The following is a 13,072-nucleotide window of genomic DNA, read 5'->3' as shown; positions in this document are numbered from 1 at the left end:
TCTTTTTTACAGAAAGACTTTTTATCCATCGAGCTGTTTCGTGGCAGAGTGAAGGTTATGACTGACCTGGGTTCAGGACCCATTACCCTTTTGACAGACAGACGTTATAACAATGGAACCTGGTACAAAATTGCCTTCCAGCGAAACCGGAAGCAAGGTAGGGACACAGATGGACTCACCAGATGTCGGTCACCCTCATAAGAATAGAAATCTTTTCAAAATCAGCATTCTTTTTTTCCACAGTAGTTTCCTGGGTATTGAATGATAGTCTACTTGGAAGCCAGTGTTGTCTTTGGAATACTAACCAACAGGATTCACATTTTGCTGGAGGAGGGTTATACTTGTATTTGCCTGTGATTTCCAAGTGTGTTATTTAACAGTAAATGCTGGATTGGAATCAAGAATCAAATCCATTCTGTTTTCTTCCACATGCATACTGCTCTTATTTAGCAATGTGTATTGACTTTGATAGAGAGGATTTTCACTTGTCCTTCAATAGCCAAGAACATTAGCTGATCAAATTCGCAGAATCTAAAAGAATATGCATTTGTAAATGAGCTTTGTTGCCAGAAGTTTGCATTTTACCTTAACATGGAAAGGGATTTTCCTTTTCTTATCTCTTGCCTGTGCTCTCCTTTTAGGAGTGCTAGCAGTTATCGATGCCTATAACACCAGTAATAAAGAAACCAAGCAGGGCGAGACTCCGGGAGCATCTTCTGACCTCAACCGCCTAGACAAGGACCCGATTTATGTGGGTGGATTACCAAGGTCAAGAGTTGTAAGGTATATTAAACTGCAGAATTTTCATGTCGCTGATTTCCAACTTTATTAGCTTGCTAGGGCTGAGAATGGACTGTATCACAAACCAGGTGGCTTAAACAACACTAATTTATTCTTTCCCAGTTCTAGAGGCTGCAAGTCCAAAAGCAAGGTGTTGGCAGGGCTTGCTTCCTTTTGAGGGCTGTGAGAGAGAATCTGTTCCATGCTCCTAGCTTCTGGTCGCCTCAGGGATTCCTTGGCCTGGGTCCTGTGTCCACATTTCCCCTTTTTATAAGGACAACTGTCATGTTGCATAAGGACTTCCCCTAATGACCTCATCCTAACTTGATTACCTCTGCAAAGACCTTTTCCAAATGAAGGCCACATTCACACATAAGGAGGATCAAGACTACCACATCTTTTGGGAGGACACGGTTCAACCTGTAACATCTGCTTCTATTTATTCAGAGTACTCTATGCCATGTGATTTGAGAAGTAAAGCAGGCCTTCTGCAGAAAAATTAGTGATTTTATATGTATTGCCTTTAGAACGTCTAAATCCTGTTACCGTGCAATATTTGGAGACCCTACTTGCTGTCATACTTCATCTCCCTCTCTCTAGACATTTTAGAGAAGTAGATCTCTTTTAAGGCAAAAGGAAAAAAAAAAAAAGAAATCATGCTTTCTGCAGACTTTTCTGGATTCTCCTTTGTGTGGTTAGACTGAATAATGTATGTGCAAGTTGAAAGACCAGCATCAAGAAGTGGAATGAAATGGCACAGGACACACAATGGAATCCTTGTGTAAGACTGATTCATGTTGAGCTTTGTGATTTTAATGATTTACAGAAACTTTGTGTGGCTGGTTCATTGTCCTCAGTTTTGTAATTTTGGTTGTAATTAAACTCTAAGGTTCTTTCACACCATTCAAAAAAGACATTTGTGAAAGTCCAATAGTCAAGGTAAGACAGCTTGCAGGGAGTGGGGTCATTAGATGTCCAAACTGGGCCATTCAGCGTAGTGGTTAGCAAATGTCCATTTGTAGCAGTGCTCTATCTTTAGGTCAAGTTCTTTCATAGACTCCTCTTATGTGGCACAGAGCTGCAGCCATTCAGTTGCTATGATGAGCAGCCTTTTGTAGAGAGAGCCACTTCTCCACTGTGCCCCTTCTCTTTGCCAGGTATCTTAGAAAGTCCCAGGGAACACAGTTTGCAACCACAGCCGCCTCCTGATCTTAGAATTGAATCCATTTAAACCTCAGCGGAGTTGGTCACTTGCGAAGTCTTACCTTCCTGCCAAGACGGAGCCAGGACTGGAAGCTGTCTCCAGATCCCATCCCAGATTCATGCCCTGTCATGCTGGGACCAGGACTGGGGTGTTCCTGTAGCCTCGGCTATGTCCTAGTACATCTGGACTTTGCCCAGACGGCCCAGTGTAGACAACGCAGGAAAGGACAGAAGCCCATATCACAGATGTTCTCAGTAGAAGGGACTTAGGTGTCATCAAAGCCAGCCTCCTCGTTTACATGGAAAGAAATTGAGATCTAGAAAGGCTGAAATTTGTCCAAAATCATATAGTTGCTTAATGGTCCATAGCTCATTGTTCAACATGAGAAAAAAAAAAAATGAGGTGTGGCTGTAACAGGAAACCATGTTATTGCAAAGCTCTCCTGTGAAGAGCTGGTACAGAAGAGTGCAGCTGGGAGATGTTCAGTGGTCTCCATATTTTGGAAATTAGAGCTGGACTACATTATAGCCTGACCTCAGCCAGGAGTGTGGAGACTTCTGGTAAGAAAAATATGATATTGACTTGAACATTGAGAAGTAGAGTTTCGGATAATCCCAGACTTCACCAAATACAGTTACTTCCTTTAGGACAAAGTTCATGGATATGCAACGTAAACAACAGCCAATGACTTCCTTTGTTAGCAGTCAGATCCTGGCAAATAGCATTACCTGCACTTGTCCCCATGGGAAGCAAACATTCTACTCTACATGGAGACTGGATTATAATCTATGTGCTGCAATGCACTGTGCACTGTCTTTCTTATAATTGGCCTGTGTTTTCTGTAGGTAGCCATCCAAGTAGCCAAACTCACTAAGTTTGATCCCTTTCTCTAGTCCTAAGGAGAGTAAGAGAGTATTTGTTTGACCTGAAGTTCTCACTATCAATATTGCTCTTAGAGGGAGGCCAAGACATTTCTGCAGAGTAACACATGGAAACAGGTATTCCAGAAGTATAGGGTTCCCCCCACCCCCCGCCCTTTCTTGTTTTGGGGGGCAGGATCTTGCTCTGTCACCCAGGCTGGAGTGCAGTGGAACAATCATGGCTCAATGCAGCCTCAAACTCCTGGGCTCAAGCAATCCTCCTGCCTCAGTCTCTGGGACTACAAGTGCATGCTACCATGCCTGGCTAATTTTTTATTTTTTGTAGAGACAGGGTCTCACTATGTTGCCCTGGCTTGTCTCAAACTCGTGGGCTTAGGTAATCCTTCTACCTCAGCCTTCCAAAGTGCTGGGATTACAGGCATAAGCCACTGTGCCTTGCCCAGTGGCTTTGTATTCCTTCTTTCAAAAATGGAATTTAAAAACCCAAATTTTGTGATTGTTCTCATGCCCTTCCCTACAGGAGAGGTGTCACCACCAAAAGCTTTGTGGGCTGCATCAAGAACCTGGAAATATCCAGATCAACCTTTGACTTACTCAGAAATTCCTATGGAGTGAGAAAAGGCTGTTTACTGGAGGTAGGAAACATTGTTATTAATGTTCAAATGAGTTTCCATAAGTGTCCATTGATTTATCAACATCATAACACAACAAACCAGTGGGGATAGAAAAGAGATGATGGGGAAATCAGCAGTGTCCTCCCCACGGAAGGTTTGGCCGCAGCTAGGAACTCACCATGCTGTTCCATCTCCTCTGTGTCCAGCCCATCCGGAGTGTTAGCTTCCTGAAAGGCGGCTACATTGAATTGCCACCCAAATCTTTGTCACCAGAATCAGAATGGCTGGTAACATTTGCCACCACGAACAGCAGTGGCATCATCCTGGCTGCCCTCGGCGGGGATGTGGAGAAGCGGGGTGATCGTGAGGAAGCACACGTGGTGAGTAGGGCCAGTGCTCCTGAGCCCCAAGCTCAGGAAATTACTTCGGGAAACAATGAGTGGAAAATGACTGACTCATAAACATTTATTGTCACCGTGTTCCTGGTTGTTTATGGATGTGCATTTTCAATAAGTAAAAGTTATTGTTGCTGAATGTCATCCCATTATGAATCAATGATTTCTCATATTGCATAATCCATCTTCATTGTCTGGTGACTGAGGAAAAAGTTATTTGCTGTCTACCTCTAATTTTTTAAAAACTCATTCAGATAGCATATACGGAGTTTTCTTCCCCATGTTGTGGTCATTTTTCTTCATTCCAAGGCCAACAGCAGTCCTTAAATCCTGTCGAGGTCTTCAGTCTACTGCTGGATGAAGCAAGACTTTCTTTATCTATTATAGGATTGAAAGGAGCAGCAAGGGAAATGTGGGCTGTGATAAGCACAGTAAACTAACAGGGGGAAAGGAGAGAAATGATGACCATTTTCCTTATTTATGTTCCTTTTCAAGAGCATAGGTGATATTTCCCCATCCTCTGCTCAAATTTGTGTCTATCACATAATTTGAAGAGACTTTACAGAATGTTAGCACACTGTCTTAATCAAGTTGAGTCCATGCAGCTAAAATCTATAGAATGCCACCTTGTACTCTGCAGGGTACTTTACAGACATTGCTGTGTAATTAATCACAACCATGCTGCAAGGGGAATGCTGCTTCCTACATTTTGCTGAGGAAGAAATGTGCTGAGAGAGCCTAGTAAACCTGACCAAGGTCACACCACTGGTATGAGTCACAGTCAGGACTGGAACACAAGTTTGCAGAACCCAAACATGTCACGACATACTTGGGGAAGGGCTGACAGTGACTACGACTGGTTAATGAGTTCCACTGATCTTTTTTTTTTTTTTTGTAGTTGAGCTGAAATTCATATAACCTAAAATCGACCATTTCATAGTGAACAATTCAGCAGCGTTTAGTGCATTCACAATGTTACGAGGCCACCTTTCCTATCTAGTTGCAAACATTTTCATCACTCAAAAGCCTATGCCATTAATTAGTCACTCCCCATTCTCCTCTCTCCCCACTCCTGGCAACCACCAATTTGCTTTCCGGCTGTATAGATGGATTTACTATTCTGGATATTTTGTACAAATGGAATCATATGATGATGTCTTGCATCTTTCACTTAGCATGTCTTTGAAGTTCATCCCCATTGGAGCATGGATCAGTACTTCATTCCTTTTTATGGCTGAGTAATATTCCACTGTATATACATACCACAGTGTGTTCATCAGTTACTTCATGGATGAACTTTGGGGCATTTCTGCCTTTTAGCTATTATGAATAAATGCTGCTATGAACATATGTGGATAAGTATTTGTTTGAGTCCCTGTCTTCAGTTCTTCTGGGTGTATACTTAGGAGTGGAATCACTGGTTATATGATAATTCTATGTTTAACTTTTTGAGGAACTGCCAAACTTCTTCTCCATTAGTCTTAGTAAGGTTACCTTCAAATCAAAGTGTGCTTACTAAGTCAGCAAAAAGGAATGATATTAGCCATTGCTAGCAAGGGTATTGTGAGATACTCACGTTCCAATTCTTCTAGTGTATAAACTACCTCTTTTCAATGTGTCGAAAAAAAATTAAAAGCTTTAAACATTTTCACATCCTTCAAATGTTTAATTCTACTTTTCATAATGTTGGAAACAACATCACAGGCAAAACAATTAAACATTCACATGTATGGTAATAAAAAGTTGGAAAATACTTTAAATTTCATTGATAAAAAGACAAATTACAATATATCTACTTATTGGTATCTAATGTAGCAATAAACCATAAATATGAGGCAATGCAGAATGGAAATGTTTGAAATCTTCAGCAATAATAGCATAATGCAGAATATAAATTATATGAACAGAGATTAGAAAGTAACATACAAAATGTAACATTGTGACAGCTGAAGAGATTCTTAAGGAATTGCTCTACTCACTTGATGTTAATCTTCTCACGTTATCTTCATAAGATGAAAGTTTTCTAAATCATATAGTAATGTGTTTTGTCTGGGAAATTCTCTATGCAACCTCCCCAGCCCTTCTTTTCCGTCATGCTGATCGGAGGCAACATTGAGGTACATGTCAATCCTGGGGATGGGACAGGCCTGAGAAAAGCTCTCCTGCACGCTCCCACGGGTACCTGCAGTGATGGACAAGCGCATTCCATCTCCTTGGTCAGGAATCGGAGGTACTTGCACGCGGCCAGGCAGTGTGTAATGAAGGTGTGGTGAGCTCAGAGGGAATGTGGGAGGAACCTTGCGGTGGTGCCCTGGGCGGCTAGATGACTGGGGTCATCGGCATCCAGACGATTCTAGAACCTTGCTAGGATTCTTTCCTGGGAACCAGTTTCATCTGCTTTGTAATAAGATACTTGTAGAATTTTTATAATTAAACAACTTTAGCTCTGCCCTTTACTGGGGCCCAGCATAAATTGTCTTTACATTGGATTGATTCTGTGGCAAATAGTAGTACACTATTAGTAAATAGTATTATATCAATAGTAAATAGCATTATATCAACATTCCTGTATATTTCCCTCCAAAATATAGACTGAATGCTTTAAAAGCACACTGGGCATTTTCATCATAGGTAAAGAGGTTAAAAAAAAAAGAAAAAGAAAATCTCTCCAAAAAGCAATCTCATTCAATGGATATTTAATAACATTCCATTCGTTTCTGAAAAATCTTCAGTTGTGAGTTTTAATTTTCAAGATTCACCTTTTTGGTCACAGACAGTGTCTTGTTAAAATGAACCTTTAGGGAACTTTTATTATTCAGTGAGAACTTGTGGGAATTATGGACTAAAATGGAATTATTATTTCATTATGTTTAAAGCTTTTCATTTATTTTCTCCATTGGTCTTTTAGAATTATCACTGTCCAATTGGATGAGAACAATCCTGTGGAAATGAAGTTGGGCACATTAGTAGAAAGCAGGACGATAAATGTGTCCAATCTGTACGTCGGGGGAATTCCAGAGGGAGAGGGGACGTCACTGCTCACAATGAGAAGATCGTTCCATGGCTGTATCAAAAACCTGATCTTCAATTTGGAGTAAGTGTACCTGCTCTCTGCATGTTCTTGCACTTTCTGACCTTTCATGGTGAGTGCTAACACTAATCTGAAATCTCATTGTACTGTTTGAGATTGAAAACTTTGCAAATTCCCAAATAATGAGTGAACCCCATTGTTCTATCATGTAAGTCTCCCCAGATGGATTTTATTGGATTAGAATGTTAGACAGATCTGGTCATCATACTTTAAAAACCATCGCTGAACATTAGCTCTCTGTGGCTGTCCATAAAGAGCCGGGATTTTAATATATTTTTGACATGCATTTGAAGGAACATAGGGATTTTGTGATGTAAGTCTCTTGCTGTCCTGAGAGCATTGCTTTGAAGGAGCTGTTTACTATGGGGCTACTAGCAGCTTCAGGTTATCAATGGCTTCCCCAAAAACAATTACTGTATAATTAAGAACCAGAAGCCTTTGGGGGTCCAAGGCAGGCAGATCATGAGGTCAGGAGTTTGAGACCAGCCTGGCCAACATAGTGAAACCCCGTCTCTACTAAAAATACAAAAAATTAGCCGGGTGTGGTGGCAGGCACCTGTAATCCCAGCTACTCCGGAGGCTGAGGCAGGAGAATCACTTGAACCCGGGAGGCGGAGGTGCAGTGAGCTGAGATTGCACCATTGCTGCACTCCAGCCTGGGCGACAGAGTGAGACTCTGTCTCAGAAAAAAAAAGAACTGGAAGCCTCCATTCCCTGTGTGGAGCTCATGATGAGGAAAAGAACTGACATGTGCCCATGAGCAGTTCATTCCTCCTTGCTCACCCTCTGCCTCTGGACAGGGTGCTGATGGGACACAAGCTGTGCTCTGCTCTGTGGGACCAGCATCTGCCCAGGAACACCTGGAAGTGCCCTGGGCATCAGGAAATTGAAGCTCCCTCCTGGCTGGGTCACTGACTTGTCTAGTGACCTTGGACAAAGACTTGGATCTTTCATGGTCACAGTGTCCTTATCTGTGAAATTACCTCTTAGGAGTCCCTGAAATTTGCAAGAATAAAACATAGCGTTGGGTTTGAATACAATCATAATGTCAGAGCTCTGGTTTAGATTTTTGCACAGGTTTATGTTTATTCCCCCAGTTGTCTGTTCATTCATTCATTCATTCATTCATTCATTCATGAGGCATCCTCATGCTCCTGAAAGTCATGGGTTTGTGGACTCGGTAGAGCAGAAACGTTTCTGTGGAGTTCCCAGCTGTGCCCGGGAAAGTGCCAGGGGGACGTGCGCAGGCACAGGACACAGCACAGGAGCTGCAGAGTGAAAGTGCATGTGACAAGCGTAGCCCACAACCTCCTGGCAAGGGGAAGCACGTAAACAAGAAATCAGTGTTTCGTGGAGGTCACTGTGCAGCGCTTGGGAACTAGAGACAAAAACGTGTCCCTGAGGCAGCCCAGTCAAGGCTGCAGGAGGAGGCGATGGCATCGGAGCTGACCTGGGGGGTGCTCAGGAATGGCCAGGGTCTGACATGGGGATATGCTAGGCTGGGTGCCATTGCAAGCAGAAGCTTCAGACAAGAAATATTAAGATAGCATGTTTGGACTCTGAGTCACAGTGAAGGATTGGCACTTTGGTTACTCTAAGAGAAATATATACATGGTTTTTAATTGATTTTCATTGTACAGTTATCAGATGACTTGGGTTCATGGACTGGTTTGTGATATCCTAATTTTGAAAACACTCTCTTGTTTCTACCTAGACTTTTGGATTTCAACAGTGCAGTTGGCCATGAGCAAGTCGACCTGGACACCTGCTGGCTGTCAGAAAGGCCTAAGCTGGCTCCCGATGCAGAGGACAGCAAGCTCTTGCCAGAGCCCCGGGCTTTTCCAGTAGGAGCGGCTTCCTTTACTATCAGTCAGGTCCAGTCAGCAAAGGAGGGCCTAGGACAGAGGGAGTTAAAATGGGGCCTTGCTGTAAAGGTGCCTGCGAAAGCTGGAGCTGGAGCTGGAGCTGGAGCTGTGCTAAAAATCAGAGCGGGGACAGGGAGGGAAAGGGTGCCTCAAGCAACTCAGATGACACGGCCCAATCCATAGATTGTAGGCCCCAACACCCAGGCCGCGCATTGGGCTGATGTATAATATGCTTTTGGCAGAGCTTCTATAAGGACTCATTATCAATTTACATTTAGCCAGGAAAGCATGAAAATAAGTACTTCATGTAAAGCCATTGTGCACATATTTGTTGCTTTAAAAAAAAAAAAAGATTCAATTCATTAGGAAAAGCCAGTTCTGGCCAAATATTTTGAATGGCAGCCATTGCTATTTTTCATGTTCTCCCCTTTTGCTTTCTCTGTTTCCCTGGTTTAAAGTGTGCACTCTAATAATTTAGAAGATGGCAGAAGCATTCAAGAGCAGGACCTTCTGAGCAGGGCGAGGCTTTGAGTTCGGGGCAGTTTTCATGGTAGCATCTGCCTGTGCTGAAGCAGAAAACAGCATCTGGGACCCCCATGACTTGGGCACTCTTAGGACAGCCCGCAGATGGTTGCGTGGGGTTCAGGGGCCCTTCCCGCCTGGCTCCTCTTGTCTGCATCCTGCCCTGTCAGTGTGGACCTAGGTTCACACTCTGAGGCCCTGCAAAACATGTCACCTGTGGGCACCTCCAGTTTTCCAGTGCCTGGTCCGCAGCTCGTCTCGGCAGCTGCATCCTTAGGGCCATTCCCAAAACCTCGGGTCACGGCGGGGGCCTAGGGGGACAGCAAGGCCTTTGCCCCTTAAGCCTGATGAAAATTTGTAGGAGAGACTTCAGTGTCCTTATGAATTTCAGTGAAGCCGAGTGGGATTAAGGTGACAGACAGAAGCTCTAAGTGCTTTCTTCAGGGAGATAAAGCGCTGGCGAGTGCATCATTTAAACCGAAGATGGAGTGAGCGCCAACAGGCACTGGTGGTTGTTGCTGTTCTAATGGGATTGCTTCGTAGATGGCCCTTCATGGCGGAACACGCGTGTGTCAGTGGGGTTCGGGCTGCGGGTGGCGGCTGAGTGTCCCTGTGTGTCTCTTACAGGAACAGTGTGTGGTGGATGCAGCTCTGGAGTACGTTCCCGGCGCTCACCAGTTTGGTCTCACACAAAACAGCCATTTCATCTTGCCTTTTAATCAGTCGGCTGTCAGAAAGAAGTAGGTATCATTCTAACATCCTTATGCGGCGTCTCATTGCTAGATGTATGGGGGTGTTCTGCAGCCACAGAGTCTTTTCCAAAAGAACCTGCTTTTATTTTATGATGAAGTGCTTGATTTGCAACCAAATGGCAAAGAGAAGGAATTCAGTGTTGGTGCAAATCACAACGCTTTCATGGTGGTTCACTGGGGAGTCTGTGGTTTCTGCCTTTTCCCTTCTGGAGAGTGGCTGGCTTCCCCTTTCTGTGTGCATGTAAGGAAGCGTGTGGGCATCTAAATTAAGTCTCCTGGATCTATTATTGTCTGGACTTTCAACCCCATTCCACTTTAAGCATTCCCTAGTCTGATGTCTTTGTCTACCCAAACTCTTACACTGTGGTGGCCAAAATCCCGAGTGCCACACCCACCCCTCTCTGCACCTTCTGGCCCTCATACCTGCCTGTCCCTGGGACCCTTCTGCCAAGGGAAGATCTCAAGGCCTGGAGCTTGGGGCTCCCGGACTCCATGTTGCTCCTCTCTCCTCCTGAGGTCCTCCAGCTCACCTGCCAGGCTTGCCTGCAGTCTCTGCCATGCCCTGCCCGTCTTGTTGTCATTGGCTGTGCCACCCTGTCATACCCCCTTAGACCTGGGCTCCTGTCTGTCTTCTGCAGCTCCTGCCATCACTCTCTGTGAATTCAACAGCTGCCTAACACCTGACCTTTCTGTGCTCAAACTGTGATCTGTGGAAGGTCTTTCCCTGCTCCCTCCTCAGCCAGCCTCTTCCGTGGCCATACCCTTGACTTCTTCACAGGTATCCATCCCTCTCACAGTCTCGACTTTAAAAGCCTCCTATTAGCACACCCCTTTCTTCTTGTCTCCACTCTGTGCCTCCCCACTCCTGCAGTTTCTCAGCTGCATGGAGACCTCTAAGCCGCTAGCCCTAATGCCCTCCCACCACTATCTCCCCTCTTCTCTAGCCCCAAATCACAATTCATCCCCCAGATAGGTTCCAGGCCAGTGTTACAGGTGTCCTCTGCAAAATCCCCTAACCCTTTCTCTCTCCCACTCCTGCGAGCCCAGGTAAAAGCCAACATTCCGCCTTCTCTGTGCCAGAACCCACACGGGAGACCAAGGCCAAGGAGATGGATGTCTCCTTCCTAGCTGGTTTGAGCTGGATATCATAGCCGTCAATCTCAGATGGAGCCTCCAAACGACATGGGGAGCCAGTGCATTGCTCTAATATGTTCATGGTTTTTATTCTCCATGACTACTTCCTCATAGCTGCTCTTAGCTCAGAGCCCTGTGCACCGCAGTCCCTCTTCCCACCCCAGCTGATGACTTGCCTCGTTGAGAAGAAAGAGCTCCTTCATCCGTCCACCACCAAAAAGACCAGCCCCTGCTTTTGTTCCTGACCCTCTATCTCTTCTGCTACCACAGATGAAGGGTACTTGTTCCTAGCAAAGCCCACCCAGCCAGCCCCAGCTTGTCCTCTGGATCCCATCCGCCCTCTCCTCCTAGGACATGCACAGCAGCCACTCCTCACAGACCAGCACACAGATGCCGCTGTCACCCCATCGTCAGCAGTGACAGCAAGAGCAGCAAACTATTGTGCTGGAGGTTGACACAAAGATTTTTACACAGATGCCCTAATTTACTCCTCATAATTCTCCTATGAGGAAGGAATTGTTATTATCTCCATTTAACAGATAAGGAGATTGAGGTATAGGGAGCCTGAGGCATCTGCTCAAAGTCACACAGCTGGTAAATGGTAGAGCCGGGATTCGAACCCAGGCCTTCTGGCTCCAGAGTCTGTGCCTGTAGAGTAGTTTCCCCTTCTCCTCGGGGGATACGTTCAGGACCCCCAGTGGTTGCCTGAAACCTCGGCTAGTACCTAAACGTCATATACACTGTGTTTTCCTATGCATGCATATCTATGATAAAGTTGAATTTATAAATTAGGCACAGGAAGAGATTAACAATAATAATAAAATAGAAGAATTATAACAATATGCCAGCATCACTCCTCTTGTGCCTCGAGGGCATTATTGAGTAAAATCAGGGTGACCTGAACACAAGCCCCGCTGTACTGCCACAGTCGATCTGCGAACCTAGACAGCTATAAAGTGACCAATGGGCCCATGGCTCCTATGGTGTGGATCCGCTGGACACGGGCAGACATGGCTCCCATGGCGTGGATCCGCTGGACACAGGCAGACATGGCTCCCATGGCGTGGATCCGCTGGACACAGGCAGACATGGCTCCTATGGTGTGGATCCACTGGACACAGGCAGACATGGCTCCCATGGCGTGGATCCGCCGGACACAGGCAGACATGGCTCCCATGGCGTGGATCCACTGGACACAGGCAGACATGGCTCCTATGGCGTGGATCCGCCGGACACAGGCAGACATGGCTCCCATGGTGTGGATCCACTGGACACAGGCAGACATGGCTCCCATGGCGTGGATCTGCTGGACACAGGCAGACATGGCTCCCATGGCGTGGATCCGCTGGACACAGGCAGACATGGCTCCTATGGCGTGGATCCACTGGACACGGGCAGACATGGCTCCCATGGTGTGGATCCACTGGACATAGGCAGACATGGCTCCCATGGCGTGAATCCACTGGACACAGACAGGATTCACTTTCTGGGCAGGACCGAGTGGGATGGCATGAGATCTCATCACGCTACTCAGAGTGATGCCCAATTTAAAACTTATGTATTATTTATTTCCAGAACTTCCCATTTAGTATTTTCAGACCTCAGTTGACTGCAGGTAACTGAAACCTCAAAAAGTGAAACCTTGGAAGGCAAAACCGCAAATAAGAAGGGACTGCTGTAACCTCTGTGCTGCACTCCCTCTCTCACTTTGACTTCTAAAGCAGAACCCCCCAGGAGACGTCACATTCCCCCGCACACACATGCACAGTACCTGGCTCTGTTTCCCAGCAAGGCTCTTGAAAGAGCTGCCCTTTCCTCAGGGACTGTTTCCTCG

General features: G+C 45.4%; 1 protein-coding gene and 1 long non-coding RNA gene across 2 annotated transcripts in view, besides 1 other annotated feature; one reads left to right on the top strand and one right to left on the bottom strand.

The window, feature by feature from the left end:
• Window positions 1-13,072, top strand: part of LAMA1 (laminin subunit alpha 1) — a 176,056-nt gene that overhangs the window by 152,353 nt on the left and 10,631 nt on the right. The window contains exons 50-57 of the mRNA NM_005559.4: window positions 13-157; window positions 642-783; window positions 3,386-3,500; window positions 3,686-3,859; window positions 5,953-6,104; window positions 6,783-6,968; window positions 8,680-8,809; window positions 9,980-10,092. Coding sequence (NP_005550.2) covers window positions 13-157; window positions 642-783; window positions 3,386-3,500; window positions 3,686-3,859; window positions 5,953-6,104; window positions 6,783-6,968; window positions 8,680-8,809; window positions 9,980-10,092 — 1,157 coding nt within the window. The remainder of the gene's footprint in view (window positions 1-12; window positions 158-641; window positions 784-3,385; window positions 3,501-3,685; window positions 3,860-5,952; window positions 6,105-6,782; window positions 6,969-8,679; window positions 8,810-9,979; window positions 10,093-13,072) is intronic.
• Window positions 5,599-6,798: an enhancer, noted in NCBI's record as "BRD4-independent group 4 enhancer chr18:6958646-6959845 (GRCh37/hg19 assembly coordinates)". NCBI's record gives its function as "activates an origin of replication core promoter dependent on BRD2, P300/CBP, MED14 and CDK7 cofactors, and independent of BRD4, by STARR-seq in HCT116 cells {active_cell/tissue: HCT116}" and the evidence as "EXISTENCE:reporter gene assay evidence [ECO:0000049][PMID:35650434]".
• LOC101927188 (uncharacterized) lies at window positions 8,026-10,768 on the bottom strand. Its single transcript, NR_126040.1, has 2 exons — window positions 10,528-10,768; window positions 8,026-10,079 (listed from the first exon to the last, which is right to left on the bottom strand). It is a non-coding gene; the product is annotated as an uncharacterized LOC101927188 (long non-coding RNA).

The sequence above is a fragment of the Homo sapiens genome, chromosome 18 (genome assembly GCF_000001405.40).
Source record: "Homo sapiens chromosome 18, GRCh38.p14 Primary Assembly".
NCBI lineage: Eukaryota > Metazoa > Chordata > Mammalia > Primates > Hominidae > Homo > Homo sapiens.
Note: the sequence above shows the minus strand (reverse complement) of the source record. Positions and strands in the feature narration are given on the sequence as shown.